This window comes from Homo sapiens, chromosome 5 (assembly GCF_000001405.40).
Source record: "Homo sapiens chromosome 5, GRCh38.p14 Primary Assembly".
In the NCBI taxonomy this organism is placed as follows: domain Eukaryota; kingdom Metazoa; phylum Chordata; class Mammalia; order Primates; family Hominidae; genus Homo; species Homo sapiens.
In genome coordinates this window covers 175,679,235-175,697,896 of record NC_000005.10, presented here as the reverse complement: position 1 = coordinate 175,697,896, position 18,662 = coordinate 175,679,235, and the positions used below count along the sequence as shown (strand labels likewise).

Here is an 18,662-nt window from a genome sequence, read left to right as displayed (position 1 = left end):
TGGACAAGGCTCTTCAGGCAGAGAGCAGCCTGAGCTGTGGGATATGCTCTGAGAACAGGGAATGGCCTATCTCAGCTGAAGAGGAAGAAGTATGGGGCTGAAGAGATGAGAAAGGCAGAAAGGGATTCTGTAGTCGGAGTATGAAGGTCTTGATTGAGGAATTTGTATGTGATCTGGCAGGCACCGGGGAGCTACTGAAGGCTGTAGAGCAGGGGAGTGTCAGGAATTGAACAACGACTGGACTAAGTCTGTGACCCGGACAGCTCTTCTTCAAATTCTGTGACTGTGTGGGGTGGTGAATACCCCAGCGGGGGAATGGGGAAGGGAGCTTGCCTCTCTGGCAAGGCATATTCACTCACTGCTGGGAGAGATGAGGCTGCAGGGGGTGGGTCTGGGCAATTTTCATGGGCATCCTCTTTTTTTTTTTTTTTTTTGAGACGGAGTCTCACTCTTTCGCCCAAGCTGGACTGCAGTGGCGCTATCCCGGCTCACTGCAAGCTCCGCCTCTTGGGTTCATGCCATTCTCCTGCCTCAGCCTCCCGAGTAGCTGGGATTACAGGCGCCCACCACCACGCCCGGCTAATTTTTTGTATTTTTAGTAGAGACGGGGTTTCACCGTGTTAGCCAGGATGGTCTCGATCTCCTGACCTCGTGATCCGCCCGCCTCGGCCTGCCAAAGTGCTGGGATTACAGGCGTGAGCCACCGCGCCCGGCCGGGCATCCTCTTTAAAGGTAAAACTTCAGGCGAAATGTGTGACTCAGCACTGTCTTTGAGCATGTAGTGTGTGCTCAGCCTGGGACCCCTCACCCCCACCAGCAGTCATGCCAGCGGGGGACTTAACAGAAGAGGGGACTGGCCTTCCCTGGGGTTGAGCGCCCTGACCGAGGTCACACAGCTGGTGAGCAGGGAGACCGGGATCCTGCCACCTCCGCTAGGTGCAAACCCTGTGCTGAGCCCTAAGAGCTACCACGGGAGGCCACCATCCGCTGAGCTCCTGCTGCACTGCGGCCCGGCTCTAGCATTTTCTATGTCTTAACTCAGTTCCTTCTCACCCCAACCCCATGGGGCGGTGCTGAGATTCTCCCCGTCTTATAGAAGGGGAAGTTAAGGCAAGGAGAGGTTAGAAGAGCCAGCAAGGGGGCCACACGGCCAGTAGGCGGCGCTGAGTGTGTTGCAGCAGGTCCCACGGAAGAAGCAAAGTTGTGGGAGCCCTACTTCCTGCGGAGCCCCTCCCCCACCTCCCTGCCATCCACTTCCTGCTGCTGACCTAGGATTGCTGGCAATAAAACCGCAAGAGTGTGCATGGAGGAGGCCCTTAACATCCACACTGTCACTTAACTTTTACAACCTCCACATGATCGATATGACAGATATTTATCCTGTTCTTCTCTCTAACAGATGTGAGGGAGTCTTGGCCCAAAGAACTTCAGTCACTTGCCCGGGACTCACAGTGAGTTGTGGAGCCTTGAGAAGTCCAGGGTGGCCCCACGGCAAAGTGGGGGGCTCCCTGCCTTATAAGGCACAAGGCGGAGCTCAGAGGGGGCCCAGAGTTGGCCCACACTGCTCCAGAATCGGGGTCACACTCAGGTCTCCCAAGTCCTGGACTGTGTTCACCCTGCCCTGCTGCTCGAACTTTTCAATAACTGCCACTTTGAGATGGGCTGACTTGACGTACCCTCTCCTTAAAACTGTGAAATGTTTTTTTCAAACTGAAGGAAACTCCCAGGCCCCTGCCCACTCATGCCAACGGTGGCTCACACACAGGTGATTCTCAATGTCAGTCACCATCCCTCATTACATCCCAGCCCTGTGAGGCAGGCAAAGTGTCATGCCCATTTCATAGATGGGGAAACTGAGGTTCAAAGAGGCCTGCTGTTTGCCCCTGGGCATTTAGCAGTGCCTGGCAGAGCTGGGAATCACCTGGGCTGTTGAGCGCTGTGTCTTGGGTGTAGCCCCTGAATCGCCGTGCCAGTTTCTTTGGTTTGAGACCTTTACTGGCTCTGTAGCCTCTGACTGGCTCAGGCCTTGGACCTGGGCACCTCTCAGATGGTTCCTCCTCAGCCCCTTCGAAGACTCCTCTCCCCTCTTCCCTGTTCCCTGGCCCATCCTTAAATGCTGGTGGCCCCTTCTCCTTGAGGTCTACACCCTCTGCCTTAGTTTGCTGCCCCCGCAGCACTTCTAGGGCCCTCTTGCTGATGTGGGTTCGAGGAACTAATAACCTTCCGATGTCGCTGGCAGCAGGGAGGCCCCCACAGCCTGTCTAGAAAACAGTGAGGGGAAGTGTAGCACAAGGCTTCATATACCCCTCCCCTTTAGCCAGTAACTGTTTCCAGAAATTCCGTTTCTAGGGAAATAATCTGAAAGAAACAAAGTGTTCCCTGCATGAAGATGTTTATCATAGGGTGAAGAGGAGACAACAGCCAGATGCAACAATAGGGAAGGGTTTTCTCCTACCTACTCCTGCGCGAGCTGGTGACCTCTGGGGCTCACTGGGTGCCGGACACTGTTCTCCAGCCTCTATATTATTCGCTCCTTTAATCCTTGTAACAACTTTTTGAAACAGGTACTAGTAACATCCCCTTTGACAAGTGAAGAAACCGAGGCTTGGCAAGGTTAATCAGCGTGCCCAAGGTCAGCCAGCTCCCTGAAGTCTGACTCTACCAGCCTCAACCGTTACCAGGGCGGCGATGGTCAGCAGTCACAATTACCAGGTAGTTGTTGGGAGAGGGTCAACGTGCTGGGCAGCATGAGATGCCTGTCAGGTGGGGCAGGCTGGGCTGGACTTTGCAATGCAAAGTCCAGAAGACTGCATGGCTCCTGGCCCTGGCTTGTCTGTGTCATCGGCACGGGCCCCGCCACTCAGGCAGCAATGGCAGGTGAGGGCAGAGACAATTTCTGAAGTCCCAAACAGAAACGGTGGAGAGAGTGTCAATGTGCATTAGGTTTGCAAGAGCCCCCGTGAGCCGTTCCCCACCACCCAGGGCGGAGGTGGCACCACCTGAGGAGTGGGGTGGTAGGCTGAGTCAGATGCTAGGCTGGGCCCTGCTTCCTACCCCCAACACTCTCCTGTTGGGTGAAAACCCAGATTGCAGAGGAGCTGGGGTCACTGGAAGGTGAGTTTGGGGGGTCTGAAAGCACAGAGGCTATGCTCCACTTCCCATCCAGAGGCTCAGAACAAGGCTGTCTCAGAGGAAGGGGCCCCTGTAGGGAAACAGAAATAGCAGCTAGGAGGCCTCATGCTGCACCCCAGTTCCTCTTCCCTCTCCTCCACAGGGGCTGCAGGAGATCGTCAAAATCTCGCAGAGCCTACGGTGAGCCTGAGCACATGGCTGAGCCTTGAGGACTGCCTGCTAGGGTGTCCTAGGGGTGGGGGCCCATAGCAGAGGTCAAGGCCTGCAGGGGGATGTAGCTGGCTTTGGATAGGGCCAGGGAGAGCCCAGGAGCCGGCCGACTATGTCCACGCAGGTGCCATGGATAGAGAAGCTGACAAGACAGGTCTGGAGTGGCCCAGAGAATGCCACTGGGGCCAGACAGCCTCCGGGGACTTACACTGGGGGGATGCAGGTGGGGAGGGGAGAGAAGCCTGTGCGGACTGCATGCCGCTTCCAAAGCCACCATGTTTACTACTGGAAGTGGCTGAGCTCCCTGACCTGGAAAATTTAAGTTTTTCCATCATCTGTGAAGTGGTGGCCTATGAGGTCCCGGAGCAGAATAAAACAAAGTATCTTACACCTGGGCACAGCCAGGTGTGTGCGCCAAGCTCCACTCCTGGGGCAAGGGCACTCACTCAATTGGTCCTTCCCCAGCCCTGGGAGGGAGGCCCTGGAATGATCAGCCCCATTTTTCAGATGAAGAAGACACAAGAGTTTGAGAGAGAGGAAGTCACTCGCTCCAGGTCAGCCAGCCAGCAAATTGGGGAGGTCAGCCTTCAGAGCTCTGGCAACAGACCACTGCCATGTCACAAATAGCTTCCCAGCTTGCGAGAGTGTCTGGTAAGGGATGAGTGAATGGGGGAGACGGCAGGAAACTCAGCAGCCACAAAAGGGAGAGATGTGCAGCCTGTTCAGGAACGAACACCAGGTGGAACAAAAGCGGGGCAGAACAAGAGCATGTGCATCCTCTTACCACCATGACATTAAGGCCATGTCTGCACCCGGACCAAGATGGGAAGGGAGCACAGAGCTGTGACTTCAGGGAATAGGAAGGATGGCAACAGACATGGGGTTCTCTATGACTTTCCATTTTATCTTCCATTTTCACAGTAAGTTTTAAAACTCTACGTCTCCAGATTCAGCATGAGAAGGAGAAGTTCCTTGAATCCTCTGGGCACTGGGGACAGCCAGTCCACCCACCCTGGGTAACAAAGGGATGTGGTCAGTCCTCACGTGAGGAGGGACTGAGTGTCCTCCATGGACCTGCGACGTCCCGTCTGTGAGGCCCTCGCTACTTTCTGCAAATTTCTACATGGATCAGAGACAGGAGAAGCAGGCACACTGATGGTTGTCTAGCACCACGTGCCAGTTTTTGGCAGTCGGGACCACCTCGACTTCCTGTCTCCAGGCAGGGTGGGGAGGGAATGGTCCTTATGCCCCAGGAGAGCCTCAAGGGCTGTGCACACCCTGCAATGCAGGCACACCCCCTTCCACCCTCTGAATGCTCTGCCACAAACAGCCACTGCGAGCGTAATGAAGCCCCCAAAACAGGGAGCCCTGTGACTCACCACTGCTGCTTCAGGGACAGGGACAACTGCCAGAATTCTTAGCTCTCTTTTACAGATGGGGAAATTGGGACTCAGAGAGGGATGCGATCTCTCCAAGCTCACACAGCCAATCTGTGGCAGGGGAATGAGAAAGTCTGGTCTGGTCTCCTCTCCCCATGGCTGGGGCTCTCTCTGCAGTCCCGCCCTATGCCCAGCCTGCACCCTCACCTGCCCCTGGCTCCTGGACTGGCAACTCAAGTCGTGACACGGACACGCTTTACCGAATTTGCCTCCACACTTTGAGCGACTCATTAGTATAAAAAACACGTTCCTCACCACCCTTGCCAGAAGATTCTTGACACAACACAGTTGGGGGGTTGGCACGCTCTCTCCGTTGTTAAGTATTTATATATAGTTAGTATTGGAATGGTCCCCGGACACCGATCCAAGTCTCCCGTTTTCAGATGGGGGGCACCAGGCTTAGGGTCAGGACCCCCCTGGAACAATTCAGTAGCACAGCTGAGACATAAATCCACAGAGCCTGCCCTGAACTTTCCAGCTGCTCCTTGGCAAATGGGCCATGGGGAAAAAAAATAAATAAAGGCTGCCACTTACTAAGCATTTGCTCTGTGCCAGGCACTTTGCATAAATCGGTGCTAAATCTTATCCTAATTCTCTCAGGGAGGCATTTTTATCCCCATTTTGCAGATGAGCAAGCTGAGGCTCAGAGAGGGCAAGCCACCTGCCCAAGGTCACAGAGCCAGGGGCTGGAAATGGCACACATTTCTTCCCCCACGCCAGGGTTGGCAAATGATAGCCCATAGGCAAATTGAGCCCACCATCTGTTTTTGTTGAAATGGTTGAAAAATAATAGAATAACATTTCGTGACCCTGTGAAAATGATATGCCGCTCAAATTTTTGTGTTCATAAATATACAGTTTTATGAGAACACAGCCATCTCCATCCATTTATGTACGGGCTGTGGCTGCTTTCACCCTACAAGGGCAGAGTTGCAGCACTGCAACAGGGATTGAATGGGCTGCACAGCCTAAAATATTTACTATCTGGCCCTTTGCAGGAAAAGCTTTCTAACTCCTGCCTTTTGCCGGGCTGTCTCCTGAAGGGTCTCAAAAGTATGCAGCCCCCATACGGTTGTGTAGGCCGTTTTCTGCACAAAAGCATCAGGTGAAGGGGTCAAGGGCCTGCAATCAGCCCTCCATCTGCTTGCCAGGCTGTGCACCCTGGGGCCGGGTCCCCTGGAGGAAGGGCCTTTTCCTCACTTGTTCACCTTTCTGTGCTCCTTTTTTTTTTCTCTTTTTTCTTTTTTTTTTTGAGATGGAGTCTTGCTCTGTCACCTAGGCTGGAGTGCACTGCAACCTCCGCCTCCCAGGTTCAAGTGATTCTCCTGCCTCAGCCTCCTGAGCAGCTGGAATTACAGGCACATGCCACCACGCCCAGCTAATTTTTGTATTTTTAGTAGAGATGGGGTTTCACCATGTTGGCCAGGGTGGTCTCAAACTCCTGACCTTAGGTGGTCCACCTGCTTCAGCCTCCCAAAGCGCCGGTATTACAGGCATGAGCCACCACGCCCAGCCGCTGTGCTCCTTCTTAAGGGTACAAATGTACTAGCAGTGGCCCCAAAGTCATGGTGCCCCTTCCCGCCCCATCACGGTCCCTGGGAAGGCAGCGCCTTCAGACTTGCTCAGAGGGAGTCAGGAGGTGTAGATCAGGGCAAGGGCAGGGCAGGGGAGAGGAAGGAGGGGTTCACAGGTAGAAGCCAGAGCCTCCAGTGGCTTCCAGTCACCATCCCCAGACCCATGCAGGAAGGTTCTCTACCTTTCAATGACTCCTGGGGGGCCACGATTTATTCTCCTTGACTTTTGAGGCTGTAAAGGGCTTCCCACCTCCTCTCTGCTCTCCTTCCCCTGACTTCCTCTCCAGGAGTGGGAGGGGCTCTCACTCCCCAAACTCTCTGAAGAGACAAAGAGGAAGAGGATTAACTGTGAGCTTGCGCCGTTGCTCCGCGTGGCCGCGTGGCCGCTGTGCAGAAGTGCAGGCCCTGAGAAGCTGGGCGGGCAGGGATTTGGGCTCCGGCGGCCCACGATGCAGCCTCAAGCTCTCCACCCAGGGCCTGCAGAGGCCATGGGCTGCCCTAAAGCCCAAACACGTGGGGAAGGAAAAATGGGCCCTTGGATGGAAGAAAGGGAAGGAAAGAGAAACAGACGGGAGGGAAAAATCACAGCAAAAAGGATGGAAGAAAGGGACGAAGGAAGAAAAGACGGAAAATAAAGATAGCACCGTGGCAATGTTATGCTAAGTGAGGGGAGCCAGGCACAGAAGAGCACCTGTTCCATGAAATGTCACACAGGCAGATCCAGAGAGGCCGAAAGCAGATGCGTGGCCACCTCGGTGTGAAGGTGCAGGGAATAGAACGCAGGGAGTGTGGGGGTCAGCTCAGAGGTGCAGGGTTTCTTTTGGGGGGCGATGAAATGCTCTAAAACGGATTGTGATTGTGGATGCACAACTCCATGAATATACTAGAAACCACCCAACTGTCCACTTTAAACGGGTGAATCCTATAATATGTCAAATGTAGCTTGATAAAACTGTTATAATAAAATGGAAAGAAAGAAAAAGGCAGGCAGGCAGGCAGGCAGACAGACAGGAACAAGAAAAAGAGATAGATGGTGAGGAATGAAAATTCTCGTTTGCTGAAGTACCTGTCACATGCCAGGAATGATGCTAAATGTCTGCGCCCCTTACACCTTTTCTGATTTTCCGTGGAAGCCTGATGATTATCAGCATTTTACAGTAAGGAAGCTGCAGCTCAGACTGGAGAGTGACTTGCCTGAGGTTATCAAACCTGTAAATGGTGTGGCCATGGCTCATACTAGGCAGACCCACCCTCCAACACCCCAGGAGAGCACCCCCAGCAGCTGTGAGATGGGGCAGCAGCTTCACAAGGCAGCCAGCAGGTTCCCGAGTGGCGGGGCCAGCTGGGGCCCCTGACTGTGGGGTGAGCTGCCCTGGGTGTAATGCAAAGTGCACTCATAGAGGCCGGGCAGGAACGCTGAAACCATGTGCTAAAGGGAGCATTTCACTAAGCTGGATGTATAAGTTAACAAGCTGGGGCTCTTGAAGGGGTGAACACATTCTGACCCTTAAGGAAACTGATCTTCTGGGCAACAGCTCTTCTTCAGAAGCGTGTGTATCAGACACATGGTTGCAGCCTCATCTTCTGAGATTGGATTTGGAGCAAAAGACAAAGTCAGCCTTGCTCCTCAAGCTGTGCCCCTGACTTCTGGCCAAACCAGGACACGCCGTGGTGATGCTGTGGATGCAGTCCAGGTTGTTGGGAACTCCGGATTCCCATCCTGACTCAGAAGCTTGCTGTCTGTGCTATTGGGCAGAAGTTGCACCACCTTCCCGCATCTGTGCTGGAGTTGGAGAGGGGTTAGTCTGTTCCCACCCCGAGGTTCTATGATTCAGAGCTGGTACTGGATTCTGCCAGGAAGCCTGCCTCTGATGCCAGTATTTGGAGGGAGACTTATTGTGACATCCAAGCTAAAAAGGGGAAGCAGGAATCTCTGAGTTCTTACGAGGTTTCTGGAACTTCCCTCTTACAGATGTGGTTTCCTAATCTCTACAGTGGGGGTGGGTTCACTTCTCAGGGTTCCTGGGGGCCTATAACAAGACATCCACTCATTCATTTATTCAATCAGCAATATTCCTGGGCCTGTTCTGTGCCAGGCACAGTGCCACGTGTTAGGGTCCAGTAGTGAACAACACAGACAGGGACCTGTCCTATGGAGCTTATGATCTAGGGGGAGCAGACGTTAAACCAATAGGATAAGTAAGTCAAGAGGGGGAAGAAGGGGGCCTGGGCTGAGGGGAGCCTGCATGGGGTTAGACACCATGTGGGCTGAGGGGGGCCAGAGGGGCAGGAGAGGAGGTCGTGGCAGGGCAGGGCCTTGGAGACAGGGATAAGAATTTGGTGTTTTACTCTAAGCAATAGGAGAAGTGGAGTATAATCCAATTTATGCCTGAAAACCTCTCAGACGGAAGGAGAGCAAATTCAGAGAGCTAGTCAGGGGCCAGTTGGGATGCTGGGCTGATTGAGGGACAGAAGAAGAGCTGGAAGGAGTGGGGAGGCACCAGCTGTGACTGGAGCCCTCCAGGCATCAGGAGTATTGAAGCCACAGGCAAAGGCCCAGGGACTGTGCAGGCATGAGGAAGGGCCACGCCCGGAGACTGGGATAGCCCAGGTGCTAATGAATATTATCTCCTGCCTTGGGAGATTACCATGAACAAGAGAATGGGTGGGGAAAGGGCTCAAAGAGACCTCGGCAGGGGTCCAGAAACACAGGGTTCTCCTCCCAGCCTCTCCTGAGCTTGCTTCACACCTCAGACGGGTCACTTGCCTCCCTGTGCCTCATTTTCCCTATCTGGTATCTGTAGGGCTAGCACTGGGGTGATAGTCAAAAACAGGACCAAGTTCAAATCCAGACAGCATTTCGTCCTAGAGTCTAGGCTTTGGGATCAGAGAGACTCGGGCTCAAATCCTAGCTCTGCCACTCATTAAGGCTGGCGGCCCAGGCCAGCTCCTCTGTTTCTGGGAGTCCCCTGCTGGCGGGGGCCACGCCGTGACAACGCCTGCTGTAGAGTAACATTCCTATGAGAAGAGGGCCTCAGCCTTTCTCACTGCTCTACTGCAAACAGTGCTGGCAGGTGGCAAGTCCTTGGTAAATGCTTCTCACTGAGCTCTGGGTGGTTTATTCTGGCTGGGGCAGAGGATGGTGGCTGGGCCTGGGGAGGTGGCAGGAAAGGCAGCAGGACAGGGGGCAGGGACCAAATCAGGACGGGCCAGAGGGTTGGGACTTGTGGGAGGCTGAATAATGGCCCCCAAATGTGTCCACATCCTAATCCCTTGAGAACGTTACCTTACGCGGCAAAAGGGACTTTGCAGTTTCGATGACATTATGGAATTTGAGCTGAGGCTCGAGAGTAGCATGGGTTACCCAGGCGGGCCTCCGTGCAATTGCGAGTGTCTTTCTAACAAGGAGGTAGAGGGAGAGAGCTGACTACAGCAGAGCAGAAGGTGACGTGACCTTGGAAGCAAAAGGCTGGAGTGATGTGAGAGGGGCCCTGAGCCAAGGCATGCAGGCTGCCTACAAGTGGGGAAAGGTAAAGGAAAGGGAGGCTCTCTGGAAGCCTTCAGAAGGAACCAGCCCTGCTAACACCTTGATCTCAGACATCTGGCCTCCTGAACTGCAACGGAATAACGTGTGTTGTGTTTGGCCACTAGGCTGGTGGGGATGTGTTATGGCAGCCACAGGAAATGGACACAGGGCTACCTATGTGCAGGCGGCCGTGGGAGGCAGAGGAGGGTCCTGAGCAGGGGCACTACACTGAGATTCATAATTTAGGGAGCTCACTGTGAGTGATGGAGCAGACAGGGAGCGGCTGGGAGCAGGGGTATCTGAGAGGAGGCAGGGGAGAGGTGATGAGGGGTGGACAGTAGGGGTCAGGAAGGGGCGGATGGTGTCTGCCCATAAGGCAGCCAGCAGGTTCTCGAATGGTGGGACCAGCCGGGGCCCCTGACTGTGGGGTGAGCTGCCCTGAGTGTGCTGCAAAGAGCACTCATAGAGGCTGGGCAGGAACATTGTGGGGTGGCTGCTGGTTGGCCACAGGGAAGGGAGGACCAGCCAGCTTGGCCACTCTATCTTCTGGAGTCACCCCTTGGCCGACGGTGCCCCCACCCCACCCAGGGCAGGCTGGCTCCGTTCCCTTCGGAATTCTTGGCTCAGGCAGACAGCCCAATCTTGGCAGTGATAACGGCTCTGGGTCAGTGCGGGTTTGTCCCCAGACGGAGAGCTGGAGGACATGCTATCAGCCAGCAGGGAAACTGGCAGCCGAGCTTATCGAGGGACACACGAGGCCCTGATCGCCCTGGCAGTCTTGGTGGGAATATCAACCTCTGGCTGTTCTTGGCTCCCTCCGCCCTCCATGCCCTCAACCACAGTGTGGGGCCCTCTGACTGGCTCCCCCACCCTTCTCTGCCAAAGCCCTCTGCCCCTGCTCCTGGGGGCTGGAGGACAGACCATAGCCGTGATCTCCAGGAGCATGGGCTCTGGACTCGGATCTGGCCCTGCCTCCACGGCTGCATGCATGACCCTGGGAGGCACCACCTCTCTGCTGGCCCTGGTTTCTTCACAGCCTCCCACCCAGGGTGCCCACGAGGATCAGAGCAGGAGATGGACACTCATACCCTGCAGCATGCCGGGAGCCTGGAGGACAGTCTGCGGCAGGCGCTGCTATTTCTGTTGTTGCTCAGATCGCAACTTTGGGTTGTATCCCTTGGGGCAGTTTACTTGACTTCTGTGTGCCTCAGTTTTCCCACCTATAAAGTGGAGATTAAGCAAGTCCCTGCTTCACAGGGTTGTGTGGAGGATGAAGTGAGGCCCTGAGTCTCAAGGGTCCAGCCCTGCCTTGGATGAAAGGGTCTTTCTCGTTTGCATTTAAAAGCTCAGAGGTCTCCTCTCCGGGATGGGCTCCCGGGCCCATGCGCCAGCCCCATCTGGGCTTCAATCCTTGGCATGTGTGGCTCTGAATCTGACCAGTCAGCTTCTTAACTAGACCATGAGCAATTGCAGGTGGCCGAGGGTGGCACAGGGTGGAAGATGCTCTATCTCACTTTGTGCCCTTAGCACTTGGTGCAGGGGTGGGAGTAGGATGCCCCTGAAGAGCAACTAATGCCTAGAAACAATGTCAGACATCTGAAACGGGCCAGTAGTGGATGCTCAATGAATGTTAGCTATTGTTGTTAAGTGCTTATTGAATGAATAAGTTCCCTTAAGGACTCAACTGAAAAGGCGGCTTATTAACCCAGGGCTCAAACAAGTAACGGCAGCACAAAGTGATATACAAGACTAAACCCAAGAGTGGCAACCACCTTCTAGCTGAACCACATCCCTGTATTTTTTTATACTTTGTGAACTAAGTCAGCTTTGCACTCCAGCTGCCTCCTGAATAAGAGATTGCGCAAGGATATGGTAGGTGGGCGTTTTACCCATCAGGACTGGAAGCGGAAGTTTCCAGGTGTGCACTTGGAGGGTGGATTTGAGGGGCAGGGTCCAGGGCCCGAGGCCACAGTTCAGTGCCGGAGCAACCAGGCTTGCTTCAGATGGACAGTGGTGAAGGAGCAGAGGGCCCAGGATCCAAGTCTATGGAGGGACACTCCACCCCTGGGAATGGGGGTGGCAGCTGCAAGGACCAGAGGGAATATGTAGGGTTCTCACTAGGCAGTTTTGCCTCCACAACTCCAGAACCTGGAGCCCTTGTTGGTGGGTCTGCAATATCCACGCAAGCTTTTCTTGAGTCTGATGCTCAGCGCTCCAGCGTGGACTTATGTCCTATTGGGAGATGGCAGAGCATGTTCATGTCCCTTCGCTCATGTGAGCTTCAGGCAACTCTGGAGGGCAAGTAGGAAGCCCGGTGAGGGAAGACCAACTCTCTATGCGATGAGGAAACTGAGGCCTGAGATGGGGAGGAACTTGCTCAAGATACAAGTTGAGTGACGGCAGAGCTGAGACCAGGGCTGTGCCATTGATTTTCTGTAACTTCATCACCATAAACCCAAAAAATCTCATTTCTACATCCCCAGTATTCATCATAATTCCTGGCATGTGGTGGGAATTGGATGAATGTTTGCAAATGAATGAATGAACAAATGAATGAATGAATGGGTCAGTTCCACAGACCAGCATTCTGGAAGGCAAAGCCATGGTCTGTGGGAAGAGAAAGGAAAGCAACATTTATTGAGCAACTTCTATGTGCCAGGTATCCTCTGAGCATTCTTTCATTTGCTCTTTTCAGCAGCTAAAGCCCAGACCAGTAAGCTGTCTCTCCTCACAGCGAGCTTCCTCGGTGCCACTCAGGTCTTTGGTGTGGTTTCCCTTAAGATCCTGCATTGGCTTTGTCACCAGTGAATTTATCCAAATCTCATTCTGATTCTATACATCTTTTCCGCCTGGTGCCCTCTGGGAGGGGAAATCCTGTTGTCCTCCCTTGCATCTCCCGCACTCTGAACATCCCAGAGTCTGCAAGCTTTTAAGATCTATGGCCTCCTTGATTTTGCTTTCCTCTCTTTCCTCTCTCATGAGTCAGTGCCACAACCCCCTCGTCTACAGTCTCATCCTCTGGTCCACATCTTAGGGGTACCCAGAGCCCTCTTTCCAAGGCATAGATCTGCTTAAGTTACCCTTTCCCTTGCTTCTAACTCTTTCACCTTTCCTAAAATCTACAGTATCATGCCCAAACTCAGCCGCCTTCAAGGCCCCACCTTTCTGACTCCACTGGCCTCTTTCCCCACCAACTTACACCCCCCCCACGGTAAGAGCTGATGCATAGCAGGTGCTCAATAAATGCTGAACTGAGCTGAGTTTCTCATTTAACCCCACAACAGGCCCGTCAAGTGGCAGCATTGGTGACATGGTTACTTGAGTGCTATCCTGGAGGGGTTGGTTGAACACTTACGACTCCTCAGTGGCAGTCAGGCTTCAAACATAAGACTTCTAATTGTAAGGACCACGTAGCTGGGAAAAAGGGCTTGCGAGTTCCGAAGTCAGGTGACCGCTCTTCAGGCCCCAGCTGTGCGGCCCTTGCCAAGTCCTCTGAGAATTTTAATGTGCTCCTTTTAAAAGGGAGCTAAGTTCTACCTTTGGGGGCCGTTGGGAGGATTAAGCAAGAGGGTGTTTACAAAGTGCTCATGAAGAGTTCCTAGAACATAAACCAGCACCACCTAAACAGCAGCTCCCTTAATCATTCCCATCAGTAGCATCCCCTCCCATTGCCCCCATCCTGTGCACCAATGGCTAGGGCTATTACCTGTCTGTGGCTCCCTGGGGGGCCGTGACTTCTGTCCCACTCCACACCTGGAGCTTCAGGGGTTTCTCTTCCTGTTGCCTGGGTTCTCGGCTTTGGGTCCTGGACAGCTGAGAGGCGTTGGACCTCAGAGAAGTTTTGTGGGAGTTGCGGTTGGCCAGCCTGCAGCAGAAGAGCTGTTGGTACCCGGTGCGGAAGTCTCTGTTCAGCGCAGCATACAGGATGGGGTTCAGGGCTGAGTTGGCATAGCCCAGCCACAGAACGATGGCTTCTAACACCTCATTGATGGCATCATCCCCTCTCAGCCCACGGTACACAAACGCGGTGAAGTAGGGAAACCAGCAGATGATGAAGGCCCCCATGACGGCGGCCAGTGTCACTGTGGCTTTGTGCTCCCTGATGGTGGCTGCCTTCCAGGAGCTAATGTGATTGATCCTCTTGGCCTGATCCCGGGCGACCTTGAAGATGCGGTAGTAGGTGATGCACATGATCAGTAGCGGGAGGTAGAAGGTGACCAGCCCATCCACCAGCCCGTACACTTCATTGACCTGGACTTTGCACTTAGAGGTGGTATGATTGCCCTTGCTGGTCTCGTTCCTGCTGTTCCACCCCAGGTGGATAGACAGAAAGGACAGGGTAATGGAGATGACCCAAATTAAGACCAGAGAGATGGCGACCCGAACTGGGGTGACCAGCACAGGGTACCGCAGTGGGTCCATGACAGCGCAGTACCGGTCGAGGCTGATCATGAAGAGGTTAAGAATGGAGGCTGTGCAGAGCATCACATCCAGGCTGGTGTAGATATTGCAGAAGACCTTGCCAAAGCTCCACTTGCAGGACAGCTGGTAGATGGCAGAGAAGGGCAGCACCAGGAGGCCGAGGAGCAGGTCAGTGATAGCCAAGGACACGATGAAACAATTGGTCAGGTTGCGGAGCCGGCGGTTCAAGCCCACGGCCAGACAGACGACCACATTGCCAGCAACGGTGATGAGGATGAGGACCGCAAGGACCACGGTGATGGTGATCTTGCATGCGGTAGAGTCCAGGCAAAAGGAAGAGGCTGTGCCATTGGGTGCCATCCTGGGACTCTACGGCTCAGTCCCCTGATCAGGGCCCCTGGTTGCTTCTTCTCTGCTCCCAATGTGACAACTATGCCAACCACTGGACTCCAAGCTCCCAACAGATCCAAAATGTGTCCAGTTTTTTTTTTTTTTTTTTTTTGGCCAGGGGGTGGGGAAGGCTTCAATGACTGACTCTGGGCTGCTTTTCTAGAAATAAATTAAGCAACACCTTCTAAGGTGTTGGGAATGAATATGAATGAAGAAGAGAGAAAAGCAAGGCCTCGAAGCCAGGTTCATGGATCAAACTCCAGTCCTCAGACGGTCCCCTGAAGAGCTAGCTTCCTCCCGGGGCTGGGGTAGGTCTCCGCTTCCCAGGTTTTGCATAGAATCCGAGGCACTGTCTGGCGGTGGCTTTGGTGTCATGCAGGATGGGTCATGTGGAGACGCAGCTGTATCCCTCTCCATAGCTGGTGCCTGCTCCCATCTGCGTGATGGAGTCAAGTACTGGGGATCTCCCTCTCTGGAGTCAGTGGAGGGCAGGAGCTGAAAAGGCAAAGGTTGGATGTTAAGCACCTTGAAACCAGATAGAAAGCATGACCCAATTCAAGATGTGTCCTTCTACTAGATCTCAACCTCTTGGCAAGACCCCAGGAAGTATGGGACCAGTTTGGATACCTCTTTTTGGGAGGGACTTGGGCAATCAGGATACATACTGGGGAGGCAGAAGGGAGGCAGGATGCAAGGGGCTGGACACTGAGACTCGTGAGAAAGAGTTGGAAAGGCTGGAAGTGCTTGTACTGAGAAAAGAAGGATCTAGACACAGACTTTCAGCTCCACAAGAAGAAGGCCTGCATCTGTTTGTTCTCTGCTGGTTCCTGGTGCCTGGCCCCACAGATAGACAGTAAGCATCTGACGAATAAAGGATAAAATGAATGAACGAATAAACAAATGTAATGAATCTACTCCTCTGAAGTGCTGAGAACCATATCTGGTGCTGCTGTTTGGCAAAATGTCATCATACTCTAAGGCGGTGGCCGACAAACTTTTTCAGAAAAGGGTCAGGTAATAAACACGTTCTGCCTCACAGCCTGTGACGGCTCGGCTCTGCCTTTGCAGTGCGAATGCAGCTATGCAGATGACGTGCCGACAGAAGAGCGTGGCTGCACTCCAACAAAACTTCAGTAATGAACACTGAAATGTAAATTTCATATCATTTTCACGTGTCATAAAAATCTCCTTTTTTTGATTTTTTTCCAAAATTTAAAAATGTAAAAACCATTCTTAGCCACGGGCTGTACAAAGCCAGGCAGAGGGCCAGATTTAATCGGCAGTTCGTCACCTGTCATCCACGCCACCCCTGCTCCGAACGCATCTCTAAATCTTACTGGTCTTACTTGGCAGAACACGTGATCCCACATCCAGGTCAGCAGGGACAGAACTCACTCATTCCTTCTAATGGTTGCATAACAGTCTGTGGGGAGGCTCACCATGAATAGGTTTATCCTATCATCCCCACATCACCCTCTCACGGGCATTAGGGTGGTTTCTCCTTCCTCCCTTCCTCCCTTTGCACTATTGAAGTAGTGCAAACACTACGTCAATAAAGTAACTGCATGTGCAATGCCTCTTGATTAAATAAGAGCCCCTGGTCACTAGGTAATCTCCAAGGCTCCCTCCCAGTGGTGGCTGTATATGATTCCAACTGGCGAGAAACAAGCTGAGGCCCTGTTCCACGCCCCAGTCCTTCCCTACCAGCTCCTCCTGGTTTTTCAGAGAGCAGGCAATCTCCTGAGCTCTGAGTGTGTGCAGAAATCGAGTTGATGGCGGAACCCCCTCTCAGAAGCAAGCTAATCTCCATAAAACATAAATTAAGCCTCTCCCAGGCTCTTGCCTGGAGCGGTTTGCAACCTGAATATGAGAAGCATCATTTAATCACAACGATTGTGTTCGTGCAGGGATCAGGGTTCCCGATCACCTTCTGCCACGCTCCCTGGCTCAGCCACCAGTCCTGGCAGCTGAACCTCCGGGTACTATTTTTAGCAGAGCTTTTCATTACATAAATAGCCCAAACAGCATGGGTCTCACCGCCACACTTAATTAACTTTGGAGGGGGTAGCAATAAGGGTATTTTTTTGGAGAATCCCTATTTCTCATCAAAGTTTTTCTGAGTTACCACAACAGCCGGGTATAGGTATTTTGGCATCAGGCTGACATTTGAGTTCATGTTTGGATGAGGGGTCTTCAAATCTGAGTGGACCAGCCTCTCTTATAATTAGAAAATCCTTTCCTTCTCTCCTCTCCCGCCCCTCCTTCCCTTCCTCAGTCCTTTTCAACACATATTTCTTTGAAAACCCACAATGTGTCAGATGCTACTCCAGGTGCTGGGGGGACAATGATGACCAAAACAGCTGTGAGTCCTTTCTTCGTAGAGTTTTCAAAGAAGCACCACTTCTGCTGTATTCCTATTTAAAGCCCAGCTCCCGTAAGTTCTGGTCACCTTTTTCGAGGGCAGGGGATTTTGTACGGCGCTCTCTCTCCCTCCCATCCTCTCCTGTCCCATGTGGGCAGAAGGATTGCCCTAGAGGGCCACGTCATCCCCTTATGGAGCAACCTTCAATGGGTTCTCTTTGCCTGTGAGGAAGAATCATGTCACCCTTGTCACCGTCATTGTCACCATCATAGCTAACAAAAAATAGTCTCTCAAACTGTCCTTTCAAACTTCCAAAGTGATGACAGGCTTATTCCAGTAAGCCAAATATCCCTGAGGTGTACAGAAAGGGCCAAAAATCAGAGCCACCACACACCTGAGCCCCTCCACCAGGAAGTGACTGCTGCTGACTGTTTGGTATGTGGGGGCCTCCTGGGTTTCTCATGCCTCTGCATGCACAATGGGCACACACTGGGCACTGCCCGCACACAGCATACATGCTACTCAGCAACTGCCTCTCCTTCACTTCTTGTAAAATTCCCAATATGTACTGGATGGCCCTCTAGGTCACTTAGATCGAAGCCATTCTTTCGGGAGCCCAGCCCGTGGCAATGCACCTGCTCTCATGAGGATATGTGCACAAGGATGTCCGTTGGCAGACGTGCAATGGCAAGAATGGAAAACAACCTAAGCTGCCAACTGCAGGGGGAAGAAGGTTTAATGAACCACGGCACAACTGTCCTGCTGGATCCTCCTGGGCAAAGCGATACCATGCATAGTAAACAAAATATCACTGAATCCTCACGACCCCACGAGTGAGGAAAATCATGTCTCCATTTAACGGTTGAGGAGACTGAGGCTCAAAGAGGCCAGGTGATGTCACACCCCTAGAAAGTGGCAGAACCTGGATTCAAATTCAGCTCAAACTCCTTTGGCCTGTACTTAATACCCGTTCTTTGATCAGACTTCAACCTGTCTTTCCAACAGGGTCTCATCCAGCACTCCAGCATCTGCCTGTTAATTTCACAGACACTCAGGCAACCGAGCATGTCCCCAGATGCAGCACACCTTCTCCCTCCTTCCTCTGCCTTTGCATCCCCTATGCCTGGTGTGTCACTCTTTCTTGTATTCACTTCAACCACTCTCCTTTCAAGGCCAGCTCAGGTAACTGTCTCCTTGAGTCCTCCTAGATGCCTAAAAGCAGGAGTAATCTCTCTGCACTTTGTACCGAGTTAGATTGTACAGCACCTGCTGCCTTGGAGTGTTGATCTGGCTCTGCGGCATTTAATTCTGAAAAGTGCCAGGCCCATTCTGATTCTGTGCCTTTGCACATGCTGTTTTCACTGCCTGGAAGGTCTTTCCTTACCTAGAGAGCTCTTACTCTTTTTTCAAACCCTGGCCTCCTCTGTCACCTCCTCCAGGAAGTCTTCCAGAGGTAGGTTCTCCATCCTCTCTCACTTCTACCTCCCTTGTACTCACCTCAGGCAGAGGCTTGTGCTTTCTGAGGTGGACAGAAAGGGGGTGTTTTTTTAATCCCATTGGGCAGAGTTTTGAGTTTTCAAGGCCCTGGGAGCACTCTCTTCTCAGTG

At 52.9% G+C, this 18,662-nt stretch overlaps 1 protein-coding gene and 1 long non-coding RNA gene across 13 annotated transcripts in view, besides 6 other annotated features; one reads left to right on the top strand and one right to left on the bottom strand.

The window, feature by feature from the left end:
- The window catches only part of HRH2 (histamine receptor H2), a 52,686-nt gene that overhangs the window by 12,860 nt on the left and 21,164 nt on the right, over window positions 1-18,662 (bottom strand). For 4 of the 8 annotated variants that reach the window (NM_001393461.1, NM_001393460.1, XM_011534549.4 and 1 more), the window contains one exon: window positions 13,588-15,188. The exons of 1 other annotated variant lie outside the window; for it this stretch is intronic. In NM_001393461.1, coding sequence (NP_001380390.1) covers window positions 13,588-14,663 — 1,076 coding nt within the window. In that variant the 5' untranslated portion in view covers window positions 14,664-15,188. 3 more of the 8 variants (NR_160284.1, NM_001131055.2, XM_006714865.4) reach the window with 3 other exon arrangements.
- Window positions 8-5,321, top strand: LOC105377743 (uncharacterized). Of its 5 annotated transcripts, none has more exons than XR_007059064.1 (4): window positions 8-2,877; window positions 3,275-3,312; window positions 3,850-3,993; window positions 4,264-4,464. It is a non-coding gene; the product is annotated as an uncharacterized LOC105377743 (long non-coding RNA). The 5 variants fall into 5 exon arrangements; XR_007059062.1 differs by having other exon boundaries at window positions 1,344-1,451; window positions 2,565-2,712; window positions 3,850-5,321; XR_941267.3 differs by having other exon boundaries at window positions 8-2,712; window positions 3,850-5,321.
- Window positions 1,017-1,311: an enhancer, noted in NCBI's record as "tiled region #12912; HepG2 Activating non-DNase unmatched - State 13:Ctcf, and K562 Activating DNase matched - State 8:EnhW". NCBI's record gives its function as "activates a minimal TATA promoter and a strong SV40 promoter by Sharpr-MPRA in HepG2 and K562 cells {active_cell/tissue: HepG2 | K562}" and the evidence as "EXISTENCE:reporter gene assay evidence [ECO:0000049][PMID:27701403]".
- Window positions 6,732-7,233: an enhancer, noted in NCBI's record as "H3K4me1 hESC enhancer chr5:175117667-175118168 (GRCh37/hg19 assembly coordinates)". NCBI's record gives its function as "activates a minimal SCP1, AML or CMV promoter by ChIP-STARR-seq in naive H9 embryonic stem cells {active_cell/tissue: H9 hESC(naive)}" and the evidence as "EXISTENCE:reporter gene assay evidence [ECO:0000049][PMID:30033119]".
- Window positions 8,460-9,179: an enhancer, noted in NCBI's record as "H3K4me1 hESC enhancer chr5:175115721-175116440 (GRCh37/hg19 assembly coordinates)". NCBI's record gives its function as "activates a minimal SCP1, AML or CMV promoter by ChIP-STARR-seq in naive H9 embryonic stem cells {active_cell/tissue: H9 hESC(naive)}" and the evidence as "EXISTENCE:reporter gene assay evidence [ECO:0000049][PMID:30033119]".
- Window positions 9,180-9,899: an enhancer, noted in NCBI's record as "H3K4me1 hESC enhancer chr5:175115001-175115720 (GRCh37/hg19 assembly coordinates)". NCBI's record gives its function as "activates a minimal SCP1, AML or CMV promoter by ChIP-STARR-seq in primed H9 embryonic stem cells {active_cell/tissue: H9 hESC(primed)}" and the evidence as "EXISTENCE:reporter gene assay evidence [ECO:0000049][PMID:30033119]".
- Window positions 9,900-10,619: an enhancer, noted in NCBI's record as "H3K27ac-H3K4me1 hESC enhancer chr5:175114281-175115000 (GRCh37/hg19 assembly coordinates)". NCBI's record gives its function as "activates a minimal SCP1, AML or CMV promoter by ChIP-STARR-seq in primed H9 embryonic stem cells {active_cell/tissue: H9 hESC(primed)}" and the evidence as "EXISTENCE:reporter gene assay evidence [ECO:0000049][PMID:30033119]".
- Window positions 10,620-11,340: an enhancer, noted in NCBI's record as "H3K27ac-H3K4me1 hESC enhancer chr5:175113560-175114280 (GRCh37/hg19 assembly coordinates)". NCBI's record gives its function as "activates a minimal SCP1, AML or CMV promoter by ChIP-STARR-seq in naive H9 embryonic stem cells {active_cell/tissue: H9 hESC(naive)}" and the evidence as "EXISTENCE:reporter gene assay evidence [ECO:0000049][PMID:30033119]".